The sequence below is a fragment of the Homo sapiens genome, chromosome 5 (assembly GCF_000001405.40).
Source record: "Homo sapiens chromosome 5, GRCh38.p14 Primary Assembly".
NCBI classification, from domain to species: Eukaryota; Metazoa; Chordata; class Mammalia; order Primates; family Hominidae; genus Homo; species Homo sapiens.
Genome location: NC_000005.10, coordinates 94,703,387 through 94,730,267, shown reverse-complemented (window position 1 = coordinate 94,730,267; position 26,881 = coordinate 94,703,387). Strand labels below are relative to the sequence as shown.

Sequence of the window (26,881 nt, the reverse complement as noted above, 5' to 3'; positions counted from 1 at the left end):
GGATTGCTTGAGCCCAGAAGTTAAGGCTGCAGTGGGCCATGTTTGCATCACTGTACTGCAGCCTGGGTGACAGAGTGAGACCCTGTCTCAAAAAACTAAGTCTCATTTACCCAGTTGCTCAAGCCAAACATGTAAGCAATTCTCTGATTTCTGTTTTTCTTGGTTTCCACATTCAATCTAGTAATATGTCTATGGTGACTTTACTTTCAAAACATCCCGAATATATCCACCCTGGTCTAAGCTATCATCTTTTTGTGGGCTACTGTAGTAGCCTCCTAACTATCTTGTTTTCCCCACACAGTATATTTCTACCTAAGTGGTATTTTAAAAATGTAAATTATTCTGTGTAAGAGCTAGTAACAAAACAAGTAAACAAAATGTAATGTTCTTCCTCTGTTTAAAACATTCCAATGGCTTCCCATCATGCTTTGGAATAAAATCTCTACTCCTCATTCTGGTTACAAGCCTCCCTCTGTGGCACTATTTCTCTGTCATCCTGTGCTCCCTCTTCACTGGCTACCATGTTCAGGCATCCTTTGTTTCCTCAAGCAAGTTGAGTTTGTATTTTGCCTTAGCACATTTGTACTACGTGCACTTCTCCTGGTTAATTCCTTCCCATCATTGTTATCTTGTGCTGGTTCTTGCTTGTATACTTCCAGGTGATCCTCACTTACTCTTCTCTTGCAAATCACATTCTTTTGGGGATTTGGCCAATGGGAGATACTGGAAGGAGACTGGGAAAAGGGAAGAAGGAAGAAAACAGGACAATTCTCTTCTCTCATTCTCCCTCAACCCCCTTGATATGTCTCTCTGGTTTCACGGACATTATCCAGCAGTGACTAGGTGACTGGGTCTCCTCTGTGGTTCAGTTCTCCACCAGACAGATCCCTCCATAATCCCAAATATTGTACTGCCAAGCACCCGCTCCATGGTGCCACTCCTGCCACAGAGTTGGTCCATGTGACCATCATCTGGGCTTCAGTAACGTCCCTCTGCTAGTGGCTTTCTGCGTTGCTCATGTCTGCCACACTCTATTTGATGCTCAATTCTTCCATCACCTGTGTAGCTACTTCCTTGTGTTCAATTCCCTTTGTTTGAAATACTTAGAGTAGTTTCTGTTTTCCTGACCAAAACTGTTCTCAACTACAGAGTTTTATCATTAGAGCAGCCCTCACTGACCACTGGGTCACTGTCCAGCCCATGTACCCATTTCAGGTCTCTTCATTGCGCTTTTTACTATCTGCTGTTTTTGTTTGTTTATCCATGTATTTGCTTGGTGCTATCTTGCTTATCATTGTATCCCCAGAGTCCAGTATCCTCAGAGCCTAGAATAGTGTCTGATATGTAGTTGGTGTTCAATAAATATTTATTGAGTAAATGAATAAAAGAAATGAATTGAGATTTGGCTAAACAAAATACTACTCAAATGAAGAGATGACATGAATGAAGTGAATGATAAGCAGGCCCCTAAATACAAACTCTAGCCAGTGCGGGGGAAAGAAAATGAGAGAGAAATCAGGCAGAAAAAATGAAAATATTACCGTTTGGGAAGAAAGACAGTGGGTGAGAAGAAAACTAGTATTTATATAGTATCTATTAGCATGCCAGTTGCTTTACACACATGATTTCATTCTGTTCCCACATCAACTCCTATTGGGTAGATATGATCTCTGTCTTACTGAAGAGAAAACCAAGTATCTGAGAGGTCACATGACTCGTAAAATGCACAACAGGATTTAAGCCTACAACATCCCTCGGCTTGATTAGGACAGGCCCAGGAAAGTACATCATAGCCTCAATCCATGCCCATCCCACTTTTATTGTAAATGCAGAATTTTAAGACGCAGATACATAAACTACCATTTCTAAAGAACTTGTTTTATTAATGCTAATTTCTCGTTTGGTGGATTCAAGTCAGGCCTTTAACATGACTTCGACATTGCTTTTATCCTGATTTGCTCTTAAGACTGTTTTATCCTGTTAAACCAATAGCCATCCCTAGTTTAAGAATTTGAGCCATTTTTGAAATTGATTCTCATCTTTTTCTTGCCCTTTCTCCCTCAAATAAATTGAAAGGCATCATGATCCACACCACTAAGTAACCAACGTTATCATAAGCTGAATAAAGTAGGCCTTTGGAATTTTCTTCCAGGTTGACCTCAGAATGAGCCTGTTCTAGTGATTTACTCTGCAGTAAGGAAGGGGTTTAGGGGACAGGCCTACCCCATATATCAGCAGCATCCCATAGAACACTAAGTTGTTATTCAGGTATGTGCTACATATGGCATCAATAGAGAAAGATGGCCTAGTTCCCCTCAAATTTGCCAGGCCCTTTATTTATACTGACATCTGCTATGTTTTGTTGAATTTCATTGAAGAACTCTATTATCTTAAGGAGGACAATTGAATTCTCAGTCCTGTTCTGGGTTTCCTGCATTATGCCAAGGTCTGAAAGTGGTGGATGATGTTACTGTTTTGCAGCTTATAAGGAAATTGAGAAATAAAAGCCCAAAGTGGTGGAGCAAATCATTTTTTCCTAATGCTAATTTCTCATTTGGTGGATTCAAGTCATGCCTTTAACATGACTTTGACATTGCTTTTATCCTGATTTGTTCTTAAGACTGTTCCCTATCCCCAAACGTCATGCTCGCAGACACTGAAGACTTACAGCAAACAAACAAATCATGGAAATTAAATAGCAATAAAACTGTTGTTGGCTTCATGTAAAAATATTATCCAGTATTTAAATGGCGATTATTTCCAGAAACTTGGCAATTGTAACCATACAAATGATGAAATTGATTCCAGTCACAGTCCATCTTTGTTTGGAAAGGAAATACCAGTAGTGTTTGAAAAATGGGTTATTAAAGACCTTGGTTTGCTGAAGGTGGCTCATATCTTCTATTTGCTAACACAGCATCTTGTTGGGGAAAAAAAATAATAAGTGCAGCTTTTCCCTATCCCAGATTATTTTCACTATGGATCTTCAGAGCAGGAAATAAAAAACAGCTAATGGTCATGGGGCATGTGGAATTACTTTAAGCAAAGCTGAACCCTGGTCCTGCTGACCACCTCCTCTTTCCTGTGCTGTTTTGTCTATGCTAGCCTTAGAATATATCAACAAATCTCTTTTAAGCTCAGATGGGGAGAAGGGATGGTGATTCTCTCTTTCTGTAAGGGAGTAATTTACAACAGATGTGCCTTTTTAGAAAGGTATAAGTTTGTCTTGTAAAATATTTGTAAAGAAAAATAGCCTCTGGACTTCACAAAGCAGTCCTTACTTGGTTGTGGAGATGTCACAAAGAGCATTGTTTTTCTAATACTAATATGATTCTTTTCTCACACGATTTGATTATAACTCAAGGTTAGTTTTGGGGAAGACCCAAGTTTAAATATCTAAAACAATGTACCGAAAAAATACCATATGGGACTCGACAACTTTTTGACAGTGACCTGAAAGGAGCCCAATTTCAACCATGAGACATGGGTTATAGTCCCAGGAACTCTTTTTAACTAGTAATGAAAACTTAGCTTCTCCAAGCCTCACTTTCCTGATCTGTAAAATGGAGGAACCATATGACCCTGCCACCTCAAGTGGAAAGATAAATTAAAAATGCTTTATAAGCCATAAAGTCCTATAAAAGATGTGATTATTTTCATAACAAATCTATTTAAGAAAAAAAAAACTTTGCGGGCCCCATACCTTGTGTATATGACTTTTTGTAACTTATACAAAAGACATAATCATAATAAAAGAATCGGAATCTTTCTTTGGTTAAAAACTGCACTAGTAAGTATATTAGCAACAGAACTTGTGCTATTTAAGATTAAATAACTCTGGCGCTGATTCAGCCATGAGGCTTACTGAAGAACAGCTGATTCTGATAGTTTTAACTGAATAAGCATTAACAGATAAAATCACATGATAAAAGGCATGCATCTTATGAGTATAACCAGTGGCCTTCAGAGGACATACAACTTCCAGTGGGTGGGGAATATTGTAAACAAATGAACATTCTGCTCAGGTGCCATTTTTCAAGTCCCATATCTCAGATGAGAACAAACACAACTGGAGGCACCCAAGGAGAGTGAGCACAAATTGAGGCAGAAGTTTGAGGGGGATCTTTAGGCAACTGATCTTTAGTTTCTTCAAGCTGGGAATGAGAATAATATCCATCACCCTCGTGTGAATAGTTGTAAGGATCATATATGATGATACATATGACAAAGAAGTTTTACAAGCATGAAATAATATTCCTGAGATATAAAGGAGAAAATTCTGTTGTCTTTATTAAGATTTAATACAATTTAACTTTTAAAAGTGTTGTAGGATTTCCTTTTTCAGTCTCTTCAAGTTGTTAATAATATTAACGACTAATATTTACCAAGCACTTCCTATGTTCCAGATATTTATGGATTTTATGGCTTCAATGGATTAAACTAATTTAATTTTATAACCATTGCAAAGGTAGGTTGAATTATTATCCTCATTTTACAGATGAAGAAGTTAATAAATTGCTCAAAATCACCTAGCTAAGAAAATGATGGAAGCAGCATTTGAACCATACTTAGCAAGAGAGCCAGTTACTAAGAAATCTACTCATCTTCTAAATATGGTCATCTAGTACCCACCTCCTTCTCTAAACTCTCAACTGCCTTCTCAGCTCTGCATTTGAACTTTCAACCATGTTCAAACACATATTTGAAAATGAAGTAAACAATTTCAAAAGAAGTTTTTTTAAAAACAAACGTACATCCTACAACTTTTTCATTAGAAGTTGAGATTTAAGAAACACACACAAAAAACCTAGCCCAGCATTTGCTATCTGGAATCAGAAACAAGCTCAGTGTTTCTGAGCTCACTCAAGCTTTGGTATTCTCACTCAAGCTTTAACTACTGAGCTTGTAGAAAGAGCAGGAGAAATTCCACCCACCAACTATTCTCAAATAAGCTTTCAATGGACTCTGAAGGGCAGAGACTATTCACAGTCCTTTTTATCTTATCTGTAAAATGAGTAAACCTAACCAGGAGGGATTTTAGTAAACATCTTATTTCACCTTTTTTTTCTTTTCTTTTCAAATGAGGTCTAAGGACAGGCAGTGACCTGTAATCCTGAGTGTGCTTCCACATTTTCTTGTGCTTTATTTTCAACCTAATTCACAGGTTCACGTGCTTTCACATTTCAAAACCTTTCCACAATCTGTTCATTTTGATTTTACAGAAAACCCTGTGAGGCATACAAATTCTTATCTCAAAACTTGTGTTATCGTGGTTGAAAGTAGCCTTTGTTACTTTTTTTTTTAAATCTCTGGATACTTGGGAGCCTCAGCCTCACAGCTTCTGTTGTGGCTTCTATCAGAGTTAGCCTAGAACTAGTCCTCTTTGGCCCTTTCACTTGGAGTCCATCTGAAAGCAGAACTTCTGGGACAAAAGCCTGAGATGGGATAATCTATAAGGCCCCTTTTTCCTGGCTGCTGGCTGGGCAATTAAGTCAAAGGTTTTGATATTGATATTGATAAGGTTCTTTTAAGATCTTTCAAATACAGGTCCCTGGGTAACTTTGAGAGATCTATTCCAGAACCTCCCATGGATACCAAAATCATATCCAAAATCTGTGAATGCTCAAGTCTCTGATGTAACCCATTGGTCAAATCGATGGATGCAAACCCATTGTGTGGAGGGCTGACTATATTTGCAGGACAGTTAAAAAGGGTTTTCTTGGCTGGGTGTGGTGGTCCTGTAATCCTAGCACTTTGGGAGACCAAGGTGGGAGGATTGCTTGAACCCAAGAATTTGAGACTAGCCTGGGCAACACAGCAAGACCCTGTCTCTACCAAAAAAAAAAAAAAAAAAATTAGCCAGACGTGGTGGTGCACACCTGTGGTCCCCGCTACTCAAGAGGCTGAAGTGGGAGGATTGCTTGAGCCTAGGAGGTTGAAGCTGTAATGAGCTGTGATGGAGCCACTGCACTCCAGCCTGGGCAACAAAGCGAGACCTCATCTCAAAGCAAAAGTTGGGGGGTTCTTCAGTCTTTGGCTCCAGGGAACTCTCCCTCCTGACAACAAGTCCATCTGTATTGCTGGATGCTTGCTGTAAGGTTTATTTACATTTATTAAAAAATATTTTATGTACAGCCTTTTACAAATAATTTTTGTTGAATTAGAAGTTAATATGGTTAGCAAGTTTTGTTTCTGTCTTGACTTTATGTCATTTGTGTTTCTGACCAGAGACATTTTCCTTCCCTTTCTCATAGTCAGTCAACTTCTCAGTCTTCTCATCTTCTTCCATCCGTTAGAGTATCTCTTTCCGTGTTTTCCTCTCCCTCTTCTCCTTTGTGTCTTCCTCTCTCTCTCTTTTCTTCCTTCTTTCTCTTTCCTCACTTTTTCTTTTTTTTCCATTCTTTCCTTCCTGGCTTTTATTTTAACATTTAGAGTGCCAGCTGCCACTTAAAAATGCCTGTTGTTTGCATTGTCTAGCCCAGGGTATATTTCTCTCCAAATTCTTTTTACATTACAATCACCTTTAAAGTTGCATGCAAATTACATGTATAAGATTAAGCCAACAAGGTAAAGCACAACTAAATGCTATCATAAATTATGTAGTAGAAATGAGCTCTGAAAAGCATAAGGCTGCCTTGCAAAAGAGGAAGCAAATATTAAAACCAGGTAAAGACTCATTCTGCAAAAAAGCAAAAACAAAACAAAAAAAAAACTCTGCCAAGTCAGCAGAAGGGAAAAAAAATCTCAGTGTAACATTATAAAGAATTTACCATCATTTTCTAAAATAGACTCTGACAAGTTAACACTGAGTCACCTGGTACAAAACTAAACATGCATAAAATGTTTCATATAGTTGAGAATTCCCTCTAATATCTCAAAATTTTGTTTTTAACATAAGCCAAAATGTTTGAGAACTGTTTTAAGAGAAAAATATACTATCTTGTTAAAAGGTGTCCATTTATCCTGTTAACCTTAAATATCCTGTTAACCTTAAATAACTTCAGTGTCTCAATAGAGTGTTTCTATTTTTCAAGGCTAATATCAGGAAGAGAGGCAAGGCACCAAGTAAACTGCACAAGATTTGATACAGTAAGAACTGAGTAAGACACTTAGATAAGATTCAGTAGCCAAGGGACTCTGAATTGCCAAACTGCTGAGAATTTCAGTATTCTAGATTTCAGGTTGAAACATGTTTTTTTTATATCTGAAAAAGAAGAAAGATTGGCACAGAGAAAACATTTGATCACTTCTTTTTGTGCCTTTATCCACTCCATACTTCTCATCTAATGTATTTTCCTTAGGTTGGAATTATAGATCTGAGAGGAAGTCTATTTTGCATGGCACCTGACTAAGTGAACTAGAGAAAGTAGTGCACCAAAACCATCTTTAGCATCCATCACGGGAAACATAAACATATTCCAAACATAATTTTAGACGTTGTGCTATGTGAGTCTATACTTGTCCAAAGAAGAGCTCCAATCAATGGTAAACTATAATAAATAATTATGTCTCATAGAAAATATGAACCTTACCATTCACCTTTTGCCAAAGGTTATGTAAGCAAGACTTTAAAGGAGAAGCAAAATTATGATAAAGATTAATTAGCTCTTTGGGATAGAAGGTATCTCAAATCCAAATACTTCCTCCAGGAAATAATAAGGTGACCATATGCCTTGGTATATATAGTTCCATTTTATGTTCATTATCGTAGCATAAGATTTAACAGCTCTCCCTTTCTCTGAAGACTCTCTCACCTTAGGAAGTGAAATAACATTGATTTTATAATAGTAATATTTGTAGCAAATATATTCTACATACCTGCTAATTCTGATTAATACAGCACAGGTGTTCAACAGATAACTTCTCAACATGGTTGACAATGACCACTATGGCAGGGTTCCTAAATGTATTAATGACTAAGCTAGGACACAGCTCGGCAGGAAAAACCAGTCCCAGAATATTCACCCCGATGTCTATCACTTTGGCTTCATGTTCCCATTTAGAACAGACTCAGTGAAGGGGAGAATCTGTCATTTTGGCTTGAAAGTCGATGAACAGGATTCTTCGAATATGTAAGGTATGCCTATTGATTATTTAGGTCTTTAGATTTTCTTAAATATCTCAAAACTAGGTGGTAGGTACTTCTTTGGAAGAATCTAGTTAACTTTCTGTTGCAATATGTCATAGTAAAGTAGGCATATATTAAAGAATCACTGTACTTCAACTTTTACAGTTAGTGATGTTTTAGGGACTATTTAAAACCTAGTAAGAGAGCTTTTAGAAATATTGTATAGAATCATTAGAAATAGTTGTGCAATATAAATCTCACATATTCTCAGATTCATGGTTATAGCTGTTGTTGTGGATATTTTTTTTTTTTCACCTTCAAAAGAAACCTTAATAATGCATTAAAAAAAAAAAAACAAAACAGTGTCACTACCAAGACTGGGTGATTAACTACTCTATGATATTTCTTTCATCCAAGCTGCTTTATAAAGTAAAGCAAAAACAACAATAAAGGAATGTACCAATTTATTCTCTACAATAAAGTATTGAACATTATTGAAAAAAGTATGAAATATTGGAATGCAACACAGCAATTCCATTATCCATTGCAGTTTTGGGTCATATACTTTATAGAAAGAGTAATTACTTCATTGATTGGAGACCACAATGAAAGAATATAGAATTTGATGACAGATTTTAAAAGGAAAATTTTATCCCAAAGCATTTGCTTTTCAAAACTGCACCAACATTACAAACCATATTATTTTGTCTTTTGGCAGTTGAGGGTAAGGGAGTGGCGGTGGACTGGGTGGGAGTGCAGTAGTAACAAAGCAAATGAAGAATGAGCGAATATTTAAAAATCCTTAGCCAATAATCATACATCAGCACTTGGATTTTAAAGTGGCTATTAAAAATTTTCTTCACAGATGCCTCAAGTGACACATCTTATTAATGAAGGTCCTGCATTTAATATTTGCTTACCTGCATTTAATATTTGCTTACCTTATTGACATTAAATGTGGTGGTTTCTAACACATCTTTCACTTTCTACCTTCAAATCAAGTTTCTGGATTTCATTCTCTTGCTCAAGATTTTAGCTCTATGGTGATTCTCAAGGCTAGATTATGGTGTCTGCATTTTCGAAACATTTTGAAATCATTTTTCTTTATCTCAAAGGAATTCTTTGTAGGAACTGAAACCTTCCTGGATTGAATAGGAAGGTCATATGGTTATTATAGAGTATAGGCTCTGGAGTTAGCCAGGCATTGTCCCAACCCAAGTTCTGTCACTTTTTCCTGAGCCTCAGTTTCCTCTTCTGTAGAGTGGAGAAAAATAACTACATTGTAGGATGGTTGTGAGTATTGGATGAATTATGAGAAAAGTACTTTACACTACTTAATGAGTGTCTGTTTATATTCCATTTCTTTCCAAAAATAATTTAAGATAGCTTATAAAAATATTAAAAATAGACAAGCCAAGTACCAGTTCATTTATTTCTTCTAACCATCTTCCTTTAGTAACATTAAAGAAAATTGGGGAAATATTCTTATTACAAAAGTAAAATATGAATTGCAAACAATTTGAATATTACAGGAAGGTATGAAGAAGATAAACTTCCATTACTGGAATATTTTCATGCATCTCCTTCATCCTTTTTTTCCCCAACATAGGCATTTTAAACCTAAATTAGGATTACACTATATATATTAGATCATAAGCGTTTTTGATGTCATTATATATTCTTTCTAAATATTTTCTGATTTCATAATCTATCAATTGTATGTACTATAATCTCATCCAACATACTATTAGTCTTTTTGTTATAAACAAAAATGCAATTAAAACATTTTCAGATGTTTACTATTTTAGAAATATCATCCCATCATTTGTAGCATTTGTTGATTTTTTTTCCCACTTAGCCTTTTAAATTTATGACTTTTGACATGTTTTAAATTTTATGTAACCATTGCTATAAATTATTTTCCTTTGTAATTTATTTTATTTTTTGTATGTTTAGAAAGTTCTTTCCTATTCCAAGGTCAGTAAATAACTTCCCTGTATTGTCTTTTTATAATTCATTTTTGCTTTTAACTTTTTTAAAATTTTTATTTTATTTTTATTTATTTATTTTTTTTGAGAGGAGTTTCGCTCTTGTTGCCCAGGCTGGAGTGCAATGGCGCGATCTCAGCTCACCGCAACCTCTGCCTCCCAGGTTCAAGCGATTCTCCTGCCTCAGCCTCCTGAGTAGCTGGGATTACAGGCATGCACCACCACGCCCGGCTAATTTTGTATTTGTAGTAGAGACGGGGTTTCTCCACGTTGAGGCTGGTCTCGAACACCTGACCCCAGGTGATCTGCCTGTCTCGGCCTCCCAAAGTGCTGGGATTACAGGCATGAGCCACTGGGCCCAGCCAAAAATTTTAATTATATTTTAAGTTCTGGGACACATGCGCAGGACATGCAGGTTTGTTACATAGGTAAACATGTGCCATGGTGGTTTGCTGCACCTATCAACCCATCACCTAGGTATTAAGCCCTGTATGCATTAGCTATTTATCCTGATGCCCTCCCTCCCCACATTGCTCCCCGCACACCACCTGCAGATCCCAGTGTTTGTTCCCCTCCCTTTGTCTATATGTTCTCATTGTTTAGCTCCCACTTACATGTGAGAACATGTGGTGTTTGGTTTTCTGTTCCTGCATTAGTTTGCTGAGGATAATGGCTTCCAGCTCCATCCATGTACCTGCAAAGGACATGATCTAGTTCCTTTTTTATGTCTGCATAGTATTCCATGGTATATATGTACCACATTTTCTTCATCCAGTCTATCACTTATGCATTGTTGGTCATTTGGGTTGATTCCATGTCTTTGCTTTTGTGAATAGTCTGCAATTAACATACATGTGCATGTATCTTTATAATATAATAATTTATATTCCTTTGGGTATATACCCAGTAATGGGAATGCTGGGTCAAATGGTATTTCTGGTTCTGGGTCTTTGAGGAATCACCACACTGTCTTCCACAATGGTTGAACTAGTTTACAGTCCCACCAACAGTGTAAAAGTGTTCCTATTTCTCCATAGCCTTGCCAGCATCTGTTGTTTCTTGACTTTTTAATAATAGCCATTCTGACTGGCATGAAATAGTATCTCATTGTGGTTTGGATTTTTATTTCTCTAATGATCACTGATGTAGAGCTTTTTTTCATAAGTTTGTTGGCTGTATAAATGTCTTTTGGGCTGTGCACAGTGGCTCACGCCTATAATCCCAGCACTTTGGGAGGCCAAGGTGGGTGGATCACCTGGGGTCAGGAGTTCGAGACCAGCCTGGCCAACATGGTAAAACCCCATCTCTACTAAAAATACAAAAAATTAGCCAGGTGTGGTGGCACATGCCTGTAATACCAGCTACTTGGGAGGCTGAGGCAGGAGAATTGCTTGAACCTGGGAGGCGGAGGTTGCAGTGAGCCAAGACTGCACCATCGCGCTGCAGCCTGGGCAATAAGAGCGAAACTTCATGTCAAAAAAAATAATAATAATGTCTTCTTTTATGAAGTGTCTGTTCATGTCTTTTGCCTACTTTTTAATGATTTTTTTCTTGTAAATTTAAGTTCTTGTAGATTCTGGATATTAGACCTTTGTCAGAGTGATTGAAAAAATTTTCTGCCATTCTGTGGGTTGTCTGTTCACTCTGATTTCTTTTGCTGTGCAGAAGCTCTTTAGTTTAATTAGATCCCATCTGTTAATTTTTGCTTTGGTTGCATTGCAACCAAATCAAAATGTTCGCTTTAGAAGTTTTTGTCATGAAATCTTTGCCTGTGAGTATGTCCTGAATGGTATTGTCTAGATTTTCTTCTAGGGTTTTTATAGTTTTGTGTTTTACATCTAAGTCTTTAGTCCATCTTGAGTTAATTTTTTATAAGAAAGGGGTCCAGTTTCAATTTTCTGCATATGGCTAGCCAGTTTTCCCAGCACTGTTTTTATATAGGGAATCCTTTCCTCATTGCTTGTTTTTGTCAAGTTTGTCAAAGATCAGATGGTTGTAGATGTGCGGTCTTATTTCTGAGATCTCTTTTCTATTCCGTTGGTGTATGTGTGTTTTTGTACCAGTACCATGCCATTTTGGCTACTGTAGCCTTGTAATATAGTTTGAAGTCAGGTAGCATGATGCCTCCAGCTTTGTTCTTTTTGCTTAGGATTGTCTTAGCTATACGGGCTCTTTTTTGGTTCCATATGAATTTTAAGGAAGTTTTTTCTAATTTTGTGAAGAAGGTCAGTGGTAGTTTGGGAATAGCATTGAATCTTTAAATTACTTTGGGTAGTATGGCCATTTTCACAATAATGATTGTTCCTATCCATGAGCATGGAATATTTTCCCATTTGTGTCCTCGCTGATTTCCTTGAGCAGTGGTTTGTAGTTCTCCTTGAAGAGGTCCTTCCCTTCCCTTGTTACCTGTATTCCTAGGTATTTTATTCTCTTTGTAGCAATTGTGAATGAGAGTTCATTCATGATTTGGCTCTCTGCTTGTCTATGGTTGGTGTATAGGAATGCTAGAAATTTTTGCACATTGATTTTTATATCCTGAGACTTTGCTGAAGTTGCTTATCAGCTTAAGCTTTAGGATTGAGACAATAGGGTTTTCTAGATATAGGATCATGTCATCTGCAAACAGAAACAGTTTGACTTCCTATGTTCCTATGTGAATACCCTTTATTTCTCTCTCTTGCCTGATTGCCCTGACCAGAACTTCCAATACTATGTTGAATAGGAGTGATGAGAGAGGGCATCCTTGTCTTGTGCCAGATTTCAAGGGGAATGCTACCAGCTTTTGCCCATTCAGTATGATATTGGCTGTGGGTTTGTCATAAATGGCCCTTTTTATTTTGAGGTATGTTCCATCAATACCTAGTTTATTGAGTTTTTAACTTGAAGGGATGTTGAATTTTATCGAAGGCCTTTTTCGCGTCTATTGAAATAATCGTGATTTTTGTCTTTAGTTCTGTTTATGTGATGAATTACTTTATTCATTTGTGTATGTTGAATCAGCCTTGAATCCCAGGGATGAAGCCAACTTGATTATGGTAGATATTGTTTTTAACTTCTTAACATTAATATGGAATGTATTTGGGGCTATTTGAGGCACATATTAAGATAGATTTTGGCTATCTATCTCAGATGTGAATGTCTATTTTAGGTAGGATTTAACATAACTTTCCCCAAATAGTTAACGCAACTACCCAATAACAACACTTCCTTATTTCCTTTGTGCATGGCACCTTATCATATACCAATCTTTTGATGCCCATATCTCATTTTAATTAAATACTGGGTACACTGAATGCCTTCTCATGATTTCTCTTTTGTAAAATTTCTTAGCTATAGTTACCTATTTGTCCAACAAACTTTAGAAACATTATTAAGTTCTCCCCGTTTTCTCCACTCTAAACATTAGGATTTGCTTGAAATTTCATTAAGCCTATATATTCAACTAAAAAAAAAAAAACTTTTTATATATTTCGTAAATTTCCTGCTGAGGTTTTACCTAGGTATTTCATATATTTTGTTACTGTGAAATAGTTTTTCACATAATTTTGAGCTGAAAGACATTCTCAATGGACTTTCATTGTACAACCAGCATGCTTCAACTCGTTTGACTTATTCTGTATGTGGTTAAATATTTATGAGTACTTTGCTTCATAGACATAAATGAACTTAGCTGGTGCTTGAGATGAGAATACTAAGGGACACACAGTTGGGGCAGACGAACTTTGCAGTTTTGAAAGGAACAGGAAAAAGCCACTAGTTATTCATTTTACTCTAACGTGCACAATTGTATAGGTGAAACTAACTTTTTTTTTTTTTTTACTGGAGAGTGTGAAAGATAAATTGATGCACCAACGTCTGTCATGACAAGTGAATGGTGACTTCTGAAGACAGTAGGGAACCCTAAGTAGCTAACTAGCTGTTCCCAATACTGTTATTAAGCTTTATGCGTCTCGTCTAATTGACAATCCATTTTGGCATAAGCAAGATGAATAATAGACAAATTTCTCCCATGTGAATTAAATTTAAAATTAAGGCTCTAAGTAACTGGTATCTATAACAAAGATCGTTATAAAACTGGCCTCCATGTCCTTGGTCCCAGTGTACCCTGTTGTCCTTGGAGGAGGCACACACATCTGTCATTCACTTGCCCGCAGTTTCTGAGGTGGCGGGAGGCCAGCCCTGGCCAAGTGTTCACACTGTAGAGTGCTTTAGACTCTTCTGAAATGAAAGTCAGTATGTAAATGTGCAACATGACATTATTATTCTAGCTTCCTGGCTGCTTTCAGCAAGCACTGACTGCCACATGAGGTCTCAAGTGTTCTGGCATAGTGTGCAAGTGTTCAAAAGAAGTTAAAGTAATGAAATTGGATCTACATTTCCATAGATATTCAAGCTGGCATGGAGGAATGGAGTCATAGAATCAGGGTTGGATGGTCTCCACTAAACAGCCTAGGCAAGTGCCTGTGATGCCAGGCTACTAAGCAGAATTTTCAATTGTGAAAGGCCACCACTGTTTCTTCCTTTGGGTCTAAAATTGCAAAATATGCACATTTCTCCTAGGGTCACACCACTCTCTAGGTGCTTTAATGCTCAATCTCTACCCATCCATTACCTGGAGCACACCAGCTTTGCTTAAATTCAGTATGTTTTAAAATGAACTAAGCACCAAAAGGGGAAAAAATGTTTAGTTAGAACCTAATACAGCATATACTACCGTATAAAATATATGACTAGACTATTATTTTTAAGAAGGTGGTCAGGCTTAGTTTGTATATGATCTAAGCAGTATCCACATAGTGGATTCCAGGTTTTGGTGGTGGTGTTTTTTTTTTTTTTTTTTTTTTTTTTGTAGTTTTCATTGCTCACAAATCTCAAGTGCATCCAGCATTCTCTGCTGCTGAAATATCTGGAGCCACAACAAAATTTGGGTTTATGGGCAGTGCGGTCAAGAAACTGGGTCCACTAAGTAGTGTATCAGTGGATCCAGAGGCACTGTAGAATCCGGGTTTGGTAATTCTGGGACCTCCCCTCTCTCTTATACCTTCCTCCCCAAAATGTTTCTTCTGCTCATCAGGGCAAGAGCAAAGGAACCCGAGGCTCTTGCTTTGCAGCCATCTTTACAAGCACAAATCCATGATGCTGGGTCCCCTTCCTCCTCATCTTCCTTTAAATCCTGATATTTTCATGGGTTCCAATTATCCATTTATAACCACACGAAAATGAAGTTTATTTAAGTTTAAAAATGTAACAGAGGGACAACACAAAGAATTCAAGCAATGAAGAATACCTTTACTCATACAGAATTTCTTTTTTATTGCATTTTAGGACAGTGAAAAAAAGGGATTTATAAATAAAATCTATGCCATCCAGGAGGTATGTGTCAGTGTCCAGAACATCCTAGATGAAGTGGCTTCCTTTGGCGAAAGGATAAAGAAGTGAGTGACGGTGACCTGTGAGCCCCATTCTTCTGTGGGATAAGGTGTCCATTTGTTTCTTGGAGGGTGAAATGCCACATTCTTTTTGGCAGGGGACACTCCTTCTGGGTGCTCTATTGCTCAGTTTCATCATTATTTACTTTATTTCTGCCAGTCTTTGGCTTTATGAAAGTTCTGTCAATTTCCTTCCTGAAATTTAGAACATATTGGTTGGAAAGAAGTCATACTTGTAGCTTTGAAGAAATAACACCGTCCTAAATTTTAGCACATTTTTCACTGTGAAAGACTTTGTTCTTAAATGGAATATGAAATTGTGATAGGAAAAAAATAAACCAAGCTAAATGAGGACTTCAGGTAATTAAGATACACCTGTATTTTACTATTGGTCTAGTTATATTTTCATCAAGTGACACTAAATTTTTTAAAAAATTAATCATATTTATGGTACCCTGCAAAAATATTTTTTTCAAGTTTGTATTTAAATAGCTGAGATCCATAATTATCAATAAACTAATGCTCTGTCATTTAGAAAATGCACACAATTTTTAAAATTATAAAAACAGAATCCCTTTTCCTTAACTTTTTAAAATAAAATAAATATAGCTTCACTGAGCTCTAATGCAAAATTAAGAAACTTACATTCTTATATACGTATGTGTTTTATCTAAACTAATGTTATATTTTTTTTAAAAGGTGTATTTACAGCAATTATCAGTTAAAAGATATAAGACCCTCATACTTCTAAATTATGTAAAAATTGGCCTACATAATGATTGCTAATGGTCTATTCAAGAAGGGGTGCCAAATTCTGGACAAACCTTTATTTTCCTAGTATAATGTATCTCTTCATTGTTTGTTATTCATAGCCAGAAGTTTTCTACAGATTTGAATCCTTGGGCATACATAGAATTTGAAAGGAGTAAATTATTTAAACTAAAGGTGTGAGTCATTCATCTCGTGCCTTTCATGTTGTAAGGGATAATGCATTTTATTTTGTATATTTCCACATGTCTAGGTGCTGAGTTTCCACTTTCTTACATTAGACAGAACAGCCCCCATCTCACTCCGAGATGTGCCTTTAGGAAACATTCAGTCTTGGATTTCAGAAGACTATTCCCGTATCTTTTCTCTCTCCTTCTTCCTCTCATCTCTAAGAATGTTTACCTGTCCTCCACACGCTATCCACTGAAACAGTGTGAAGCCCTCAATTTGGGGCATTTCCCCATTGAGTGCTGTCTTTCTTTTATCTGGGGTACACAGTGTGCTGATACCTGACAGAAACATCTCATTTATACCAAAAGACCATGGATCAGGCAGTGAATGCCTGAGAGGAAGAAACTCCTTTGTAACTCTAGGTGGTAGAAGGCCTCAGAGCAGATGCTTGGCTGGAAAACATGACTAGCTGAGGGATATGACCAGATCTTGGCAGTGGTTCAGCCTTGGGGAAACCTGGGTTTTGTAGAACTTCCTATGCTAAGGTACAGGAATATGGCACAGGGGCCAGTGAGTCTTGGAGGAGCCATCTCTCCCGCAAAATGATCTTTTGGATGCTAAAAAAAAGAAATTCTCCTGGGGGTCACATGGAATTAAAAGCATCTACCCAGAAAGCAGACTCAAAAGCAATCTTTAAGCACAAAATGAAAGGGCTCTATACTTACCATGTCTTGTTACTAAATAATCATTCCAGAACTTTCTTGAATTGCATCCCTTTTTGGGGGAAGATCATATTCTAGATTTAGATTCCATAATGCAGAGTGTAGAAATAGAAAAGGGCAGTTTTATTTTATTTTATTTTTTCTAACAGCTACACTGGTGGGGATTCTTTGCCATTTATCCTTCCAATAGGAGTAAGGAGAACACAGGGAGTTCTTCAGTGGGGCTGCCCAGAAGGAAGGTTTTCTGAGTGAAGAGCCAGTGCCCTCACACGTGGAGTCGTGTGATGGATGACTCTGAGCTGAGCCACAGGAAAGCAAGCAGATCCCCTTAGCCTTCTGTTCTCTCCACAAGCAAGCAGAAGCAAGGGAGGCACAGGTATCCATCAGGAAGGGAAGGCATGATCCTTTACCTGGTGAGTTGCAGATGCTCACTCTTGACCATAAGAGGAAGAAGACAAAGACAGAAAAGCCAGACACCAGGGATTACTGAAAATAGGATAACCAGATTGACCCAACATTGGCTCTTTTAGTAGAAAAAAATTTTAGGAAACAATTTTGACCTAGAGAGAGACAAAAAGCAAGCTACATGCCACAAAGGTAAGGAACAACTAATTCCTAAGTATTATGCTGAGGCATTGTATAGAAGAAAATCTCTTTAGCAATCATCCTTTATTGGGTCAAAATTGCCCTGAAAAAAAAAAACTCACCTCAAGTAAGTACAATATACAATACCAGGAAATTAGAAGAAATAAAAAACACATTTATCCACATGAACAATATGTTTTGCTGAAGTGTCTTAGGGGCCTTCTGTCTCATAAGAAAAAAGTGCCATAAATGAGATTCCTTGAGTTGATTAGTTCTAATAATTTCATCTTGATTCACATAAACATATTACCATCACAACCAGTCTTCCTTGACAGAATAAAAGCTATCCCCATTTTATAAATGGGGAAAAGGTTAGAGAGGTTGACTCAGCTAAATCCACATAATAGAATCTAGGCTTTGAATACAAATCTGCTAACTTCTTGGCTCTCATGCTAAAGGGTCAGAGGACATGATATGTTTGTTAGTTCCTCTTTAGTGGATGAACACTTAGGAGAAATTTCAAAGAATGCAATGGTATGCCTGTAAATGGTGATATATTTATATGCCCAACCCTGGAGGCTCTACACAGTGTTTCTATTTTCTTTATGATTTTGGCACACTCTTAAGAAGTACCAGACTGGATTCCACACAAAAAGCCTTAAGTGATTATAATCTTCCCATGTTCCAGTTCCCTGATTTTCTACTTTTAAAAACATTTTTACATCATGGTTTTTGCCTTTGTCTTCATTTTTCTTTTCCCTTTTTGTCTCAGTAAATTCCTTCCCATCTCCTCAGTACTTTTTTTTTTTGTAACTTCTACTTCTGTTCATTGGTCTCGTTTCCATTTGTTATCATGTCTTGTTGTCAATACTGAGTCTTGCAGCCTTCTCTGACCCAGTCCTCTACGTTACCAATTACTTTTGCCAGAATGCTGTCCTTCACAAGGAGTACATGAGAGATAATAGTAAGCAATGCTGATTTTATTAATTATCTATGTACTTCTGGGAAGAAGGGCAGTAAGAGGTGAATTTTTGCAAGGCTGTTTTGTTCCTCTTTCCTGATTTCCAGTTCTATTTCAAACATAGCTGAGGTAGGACAAGTGAGTAGTTTAAGGAATTCTAACATTCAGAGGATTTTTAACACAACCATGTAAGAGTTACATCTACCAAGAGTTGCTGGCAACATTTTATTCCCAATATGGGGAATACTGAGAGTTGATAGAAGGAAGAATGGTGGGTCCAGGGGCATTCCCCTCTGAAAAGCCAGAGAAAACAAGGATGGGTACTAGTCTTAGCAGTAGAAAAATAAAGAAGAAAAATAAAGATCTTCTTTCATGTGGGGAGTCACCCAAGTAGCACAATGGCTTTAGACTCTGAAGTCACCTGGAACAATCTGGAGGAGGTGGCAGCAAGACTCTTTACTTGGGCCCTGTGTTCATGGAACTGAGCAGATTATGGCTAGCCTGCGTCCTCTGATAACCTATTACAATTGGAATCTATTCCAGAGAGAAATGCAGACTAACTAGGTCCCAAGTTAGAATCATATGTATTTTAATATTTGAAAAAAGTATGAAGTACTCAGATTGCTGATGTGTTAATTTTCCATTCAGTACTTTCAACTGGACTGTCCCATTCTTAAGCTGGCTGGCCATTGTAGCCCTCTGTGTGTTCACAGCCATCCTGTACTGCATTCCGCTGAGATACATTGTCCTTGTCTGGGGTAAGTAAAGCCTCCCCCACTCCCCCAAACTGTCTTAGCTGCTAAGAACAAACTATGTTTAAGAGATGAGTTACACTGTCAGCAGTTCCCTGTATTTATGGTCATGAAGCTACTCCATGATGAAAAGAGACAGGTTGGTTAAAAATCACAACAGTATAAAGATTTAGGTCCACCTGCAAAATGTATTTTTCTTATCTGGCACACTAGGCTTCATCATACTATAAACATGTTAGTTGTGCAGATTCTTCATATATCAAAGTGTAGCTTTGTCTAGATATCCCTCTGATTTATTTTCACCATTTATATACAAACAGAGGCATTTCAATCCATATGGTGCATTTAGGAAAATATGCTTTTTTTGCTGTTGTATTTTATCTTGTGGAATATATGTAAACATGGTACTATACATGGCTGCCTGTTTAAGAGGTCACCTTTAGCATTCGGGAAAAGGGTCCTTGGTACTTGCAGGTTCCTTAGGAACAAAAGGATCCTTTTATGTGTACTAAACAAGAATGTTTCTATAAAGACCTACATCAAAGGTGATTTTTTTCGGTCCTAATTTTTAATGCAACTATGCTGCATGCCAACGATTCTTATGCACCTGGGCTCCATTTAGGAGACTGTCAGTTGCAGCATTCTTCTTTTTTTCTTTCTTTCCTGACAAAATTCTTGGTTTGGAAAACAATTTTCAGTCTCTAGGATCTACTATAACATTAATAATATATAAACTAGACGGGGTAGAAGAAGAATTCTCTACTTACCCCTCACCTGCTTACACATACACCTAAGACTGCTAAAACAAATCAAATGCAAAGAACCAAAATGAGTCTTAGCTTCGGAAAGCATGTGCTTACACTGAAAGCAAAATTCTTTTCAAGGCTTTTGAAGAAATATGTTGGAATAAAGTGAGTTCAAGTCTGATGACTCCAAGCCCTCCGCTTTTAAGATACTTTGTCCCTATTCTTTTTGGCCCAACTTGCCATATATTGAGGAAGCCCTCTTACCCCTTATTATCACTATAATTACCCTTTCAGTCTGGGTGAGAGGTGGGGGAAATGGTAATTATTTTTTCCTTTCCTAATTTCTATAATTCAAAGATATTCAATTTAGACAGCACTTTCATTATATAAGGGAAGAATAATTTCCACTATGTTCTTGCTTCCTATTGTATGTTCATCTTTCATTTCTTCCTGATAGTTAAAACAGATGCTGCTTTATAGAAAAAATTAGGGTAGAATGTCATGTCGTGGCAGTTTATTAACTCTAATCTACCTAGGGTCAGACCTGCCTTGGCTTGTGGAGTCATCTCTGTTGCAATAGGTGGTGGTGAATGCCCTGTTCTCCCAGGTTTACAGAAACTGGAGCCCAGGGCAGACATCTAGCTGTGTAACCTGCAGTGCCCTCACTGACTAGCTGTCTTAAAAGTAACTTTGCAGAATGTGTTTGGGCCTCTTGTTTCATTAAACAAAATAAAACAAGAACAGTATTCCTTTAGTGGTAGGTGATTGCTGAAATATTAGCCAGAAATTTAAGACATAGGTCTTACATGAGGAGATGGACCAAAATCAAGATTCCAGAAGTTTATTCTGCATGAACTCCCTGAAGAGGAGCCAAGATGCTCCAGTGTATGGCTCAGTTTTTACCAGTTTGTTGATTTCATGTAAAGGTGTTTATTTATTTATTTATTTTTACAAAGTTGGGGGCAAATCTTTTCATTTCAGGTTTGAAAAAAATAAACATCATGTGTCTTCTAAACATTTAGCTGGCATTAACAGCAGCACACACCCCCACCTCCAAAAAGGTGCATCTTTTGGAAAAGGGGAAACCAAATAAGTTAGACATCTTGCCTTAACAATCTTAACCCAAAAAGTAGGAAAGCAAGTTTCATCATAAATGAAACACTAAAGCAAGGCTTCTAAGTAGACTGTAACACAGGGGGAAAAAAAACCAAGATATTGCTAATTAACCCCCAGGGCAGCTCCTTTATTTCCCACATAGAAAGCCTTTCCTGCTTGGAAGAAGCTACTAAGGTACAAGTAAAAAAAGCAGTTGAGCTGGAAAGGAGGAAGAAATGAAGGAGAAAAAGAGGAAGAGGGGGAAAAAACTGGGTGTATTGGTTCATTGAGTCAAGGCATACAAGTTAGATCTTCAAATTACTACAACACTTTTGTCAGAAATGTGCTTTGTTTAACTCCAACTTTGTTTCAGGCATCAATAAATTTACAAAAAAGCTTCGGAGTCCATATGCAATTGATAACAATGAACTACTTGACTTCCTTTCCAGAGTCCCTTCAGATGTACAAGTGGTATGTAGGTTTCGTTATTATTATTGCTATTATTTTAATGTAGTGTGGCATGGGGTTTTAGCTTTTATATCCTTCTAATTTCAAAGGCTTTAGAAGAGCTGAGTAAAAATTAATAAAGCCTGTGTAGCAGATTTTACCAGTCAGAAATTTAGCCCACCTGGGGTGTTATCCAAGAAGCACTTACAGAGAATGGGAGAAAGAGCAGTTGCATAAAGAACCTACCAGAGCTGTCAGGGAAGATCCTCCTCCAAGTTAGTTCAGCTGGAGTTTGTGACAGGGAGTATGACCTGAGGGGAGGAAACCAGGAATATTAGATGATGAAAGCAAAATATGCCAGTGGACATTTAAGAAAAAAAAGTCTTTCCAGAATTTGCAAGAGTTACAAGTAAGTTTTGAAGAAGTATATTTTGGAGATCAATGAGGAGAGGAAAGCTGACTGCTTTTTGAAGAGTGGAGCATATCTCAAAAATCCTTTGAGGTTAATGCCCATTAACCATCAGCTGTTTTCAAAATAAAAGAAGTTTGTTTTTTTTTTTTTAAATCCTGAAGCTGGGTTACAGTGATACCTTTTTCATTTGCTATGACATGACAGTGGGCTGGATGGAGATTAAGACTGTATTAAGCAAACACACGATAAATTGTAAAAAACCATTATCGAGCCCTTTAAAAAATTGATGTAGATGGTTTTACTTTTAATGTAATGTGTTATAGACAGTGAATACCATTACTAAAGTTCACATCAGGGCCCCATGTACTTTCCAACAGGATTTCCCTTATTCTTGCTCTGTCATTCTATTGCTTTCTGCATCTCAGCTGCAGATCCCATACAGCTTCTAGAGTGAGCACTTTCTTCCCCCAAGCACCGTCTCTCATTCCTTTGCTGTTCCTTTCTTTGCCAGAAAGTGGCCACCTGACCAGTCTTCCTCTGAACTCTGTTTAAACAGGTGCAATACCAAGAACTGAAACCAGATCCTTCTCATAGCCCATATAAAAGAAAGAAAAACAATCTTGGCTAGCCAGCTCCCAGCACTGAGGAGACCAGCATCTGTTTGGGAAGATAAAAGAAAAAGCCCTCAGCCTCAGCAGCATTTCCTTTCTTTCTGCTTTTTATTTATTTTGCCTTTTTATCATGATCGAGAGAATCTGTAAATAGTGTACAAAGGCATATGTCTTTGAATATATACTTCTATTGTACAGACTCAACTTGATAAAGGTTTTGCTACTGCTGTGTCAAAACCTTGTTAGCTGTGGATAATAATATAACACACTGAAAGAACAAATATAAGAATGATAACACTGGAAGATATATTCTTATCTAATTACTAGTGGATTAAATACTCACCTGTGCTCTGATTAAATCTACATCAATTGTAAATGTCGATTTGATTTTAAAGTTTTTTTTTAATGCGACTATTTTTTATCTGAAAAGTAATCCATTACACTTTTCTATGTTTTATACATTTCAAAAGGGAGGGAAATTCCAAAGCCTGAATAATGGAATGGATACATTTCAATTTAACATATATTCTGGCTTTAGATCCCGACATTCACTCCTGTGCAAATTACTTAGGTATGACTTAGGCTAATTTTAAGCTAATAAGTGAAGGTACATTCACTCCCTCAAGAGAATCAATACTCAGAAGGTTACAAAGTTTTCTTTATAGAATTTCAATCAATCATTCCATCTAAAACCTTAAAATCTCTACAGGACTACATAACATAAATACTGCCAGTTTATAAACGATTGCCTATCTGAATTTTTATACCTACCACTACTTTAATTTATACAGTTAGTTAGCAAATTAGCAACCCAGTAAGTACAGTTATCAAAAATACTAGGAAACTATATCCATATCGCTTTTGGTGTCAGATTGTATCTGTGCATCTAAAAATATTTTAATAAATACTCAAGTGCTCTCAGAGAAAAAAAAAACCTGCTTTCTCATTAGATTACTGAAATGCTTTAATTCATACTATGATTTTGTTATTAGTGTGAATTTTAATGTAGAGAATTCAGTGTGCTAAGTGATATGCCAGTGTTTCACTACATTCATTTATTAAAAAAAATCATTCTTGATTATGCATGAAAACCTGTTTTGTAAAATAAAATAAACTGCTTGGGGGTGGTGGTTGCCTTTATCAATGTTTCACTATTATCATAGAATCTATACTTAAAAATTGCATTCCCAAGACTCTTAAAGTAGTTTTTATATCTCACTCCCTGGTATACTAAGGGAGCATAACTCTGGAGAAAAAATAATTTGGTTGGTTGAGAATGTCTTACTTCCCTGACTTGGTAGGGGACTACACTCAGTTGAAATTGCAGCAGACAATGCTTTGCACTACTTTATTAATAATAAACTTGGATGGGGTAAAAGTGGGGGTTATACTGGAAAAACTATAGAAAAGCTAAAAGAAATGTATATTTCACTCTAAAGGAAGATTCTTTAACAATAAATGTAATCTCATTGAAGCTGATTTTTAAAGTATTTTTATTTTAGAGATAAGTTGTTAAATACTATTTCTTATAATAGAACTATTTTGATCTGTTTATATACTATGCTTGAATGTCAATTAAATTCCCTTTCTACAGAAAGGCTTTGACCTCAACATGCTTTATTTAATGTATCATGTTTAAAATGACATGCTTCTGTCTGCATACCATCACTGTTTGTTGCTAAAAACATAATGTTCCATGAACATGATGTTACTACAGAAAGTTTATTGATGAGATAACTGTTTGAAATAACTTTCAATTATACCTTATGTGAGACTTTTATGTTCTGTGCTGACAATGTGTACTCAAATGTCTATAAGCCTGATATTCTACAACCTCAGATGTATCTAGTGGATAGTAACCATTAACAGATGACTAATTTGTTTCACTGTATCAAATTTCAGATGTTTAGTTCAATGGTAATGCTGACTACACATTCACTGTATTAAATACAAAAGAAAATAATCTTTCCCACGTATAATCAGCACTCCTTTTTTTTTTTTTTTTGGTGGTTCAGAGATTGATGAGGGATTGTGTGCATATTCTTAAAAACTATATGTCACTTGGAGAAAAACAGATTTGGTTTAAACAAATAAGACCTTTTTCCTGAAACTCTGACTCTTATATGAAAATACCTCTGGAGGGGTGAGCAACCAATGACATTAACAGAGGAATAAGAACTAGCTTGAGGCACAAAAGTGATATTCAGGGAAATCTTCATTGCTTTTAGAAACTACTACATTCACAGGCTGAAAACAGAATATGTATAGTTAAAATTTTAACTATTTATTTCTTTCCCCTTCTCACATAGCTGCAATTCTGTCTTGAGAGCTGCCTGACTTGCCTTCATTTTGAGATCTGTGATGTAAATATTTCTTAAGAGACTGAATGTCACTCAAACATCTACTTGGACTGCTAACTATTATAGATATTGTGAACTACTAAATATATTCCTTTAGTATCTTTTAGTGAGTAAATTCACTGAGTCATTATTTATATTCATAAACTATTACTGACATTCGTTGTGATAATTCATAAGAAATGCGTATTTGTGCTTTTAAATTTTTCCCCACTTATCAAAAAGAACATAATAGTACTTCTCATTCATTCTGGTACTGTTCCAGACTCAAACTGATTGATTGATTGAATCTCCCAACTCAGATTATCCTAGTGCATATAGAATGTTCAAAAACTGGAATTCCTACAGAACCTATCAATCAATCAATCAGTTTTTGAACATTCTATATGCACTAGGATAATCTGAGTTGGGAGATTCTTAAAAGGACTCTGTGATATATTTATCGAATACCAACTGTATGACCCTGTTATAGACAACGGTCAAACCAATGATTGTATACTAAAATCAAATCTGGAGTTGAAGTACAGTGAGAGCCAAATTTAATTGATACATTTCTAAAATTATCTTTTATAAAATTTTTATTCTGCATTTAAAAGTGAAGAAAAACTCAGAAGTAAATGCTTATCTAGGGACCACAGGAGCTTTTTTTCCACTTTGATCTCATATCTAAGGTCTCCTATGCTCAAAGTAGTCTACATTTGTATTAATGTTATTCAAAGGCAGTAATTTCAGCGAATAAACTTGTTAAATGGGCCTAAATGTTTATAATGTTGACTAAGCATTAAGAACAAACAAAAAGGTATAAGGCAGTTATACCTTTTTGCTCCAGAAATACAAGTAAAGACAGCTACCATTATACTTCTTGAAAAACGTCTCAGGTATTGCTAAATTAATACTTGCTTAAATTCTTGGGCTTTAAATGAATAGCGTGATTTCACACTCTAGTGTGAGTGAGTGTACAGATGATGTCTATTCGTTGGTTTGATTAGGGTATCTAGAATCAGCCTTTTCTAATTGCTCAGTAAAGTATGAATTAAAACCACATAGAAAATAATGTGGTAAATTCTTTCTTACAATAGTGTCATTCCTTTCAATTATAATTCTTTTTCCTGGGATGATTGGTGTAACTCACTGAAAGAAAACAAAACATTTTTTTTTCTTTTTTTTTTGGTGAAAATGTTACCCTCTGGTACCTCAGTTTCTTTTATATAGTGGCAATTTGAATAGAGGCAGTCACATAAGATTTACTTCAGCTGAATGGCTAAAATTTGAGAAATACTATTGAAAAATCTCATTAAAAAATAGTATGCAAATAAAAACTATCAAATGTCCAAAGCAATCATACAATGTAGAAACTAAGAGCACCATGAAAGGTTTCCTGGAACTTAATGATTCTATCTGTGCTTTTCAAAGGAGGGATCTGGGTTAAGAATCAAAAAATAAAAACAATCAAATATTGTAACTGACCTCAAATGAGTTTCAATTTATTGGGCTCTTCTTTGACATTCTAAGCTTAAAAAAAAAAAGAAAAAAACAAAAAAACCACCAAAAACCCATACAAAAGAAGTGTTCTATTACATGCACAAGCAGTATTTTTGTAAAGACAGGTTTTTAAATTTATATGATTATCCGTACCTCCAAATGTCACTGAAAAATTATTACTCCATTTTTTACAAAGTAAAATACACTGCTGTTCTGCTTTAGTCAATTAAGTGTTTATTATATTAGGCAGAAAGATTTGTTTCAAGGAAAGCGGAAATGGTTTACGT

General features: G+C 36.3%; 1 protein-coding gene across 50 annotated transcripts in view; it reads left to right on the top strand.

The window, feature by feature from the left end:
* MCTP1 (multiple C2 and transmembrane domain containing 1) overlaps positions 1 to 26,578 on the top strand; it is a 581,405-nt gene extending 554,827 nt beyond the window's left edge. For 33 of the 50 annotated variants that reach the window (XM_047417718.1, NM_001393537.1, XM_047417715.1 and 30 more), the window contains 4 exons: positions 15,382 to 15,491; positions 19,341 to 19,450; positions 21,659 to 21,756; positions 22,701 to 26,578. In XM_047417718.1, coding sequence (XP_047273674.1) covers positions 15,382 to 15,491; positions 19,341 to 19,450; positions 21,659 to 21,756; positions 22,701 to 22,772 — 390 coding nt within the window. In that variant the 3' untranslated portion in view covers positions 22,773 to 26,578. Of the gene's footprint in view, positions 1 to 15,381; positions 15,492 to 19,340; positions 19,451 to 21,658; positions 21,757 to 22,700 lie in introns of those variants that run through there. The other 17 variants (XM_047417713.1, XM_047417712.1, XM_047417711.1 and 14 more) reach the window with 4 other exon arrangements.
* Positions 26,579 to 26,881: the final 303 nt, after the last annotated feature.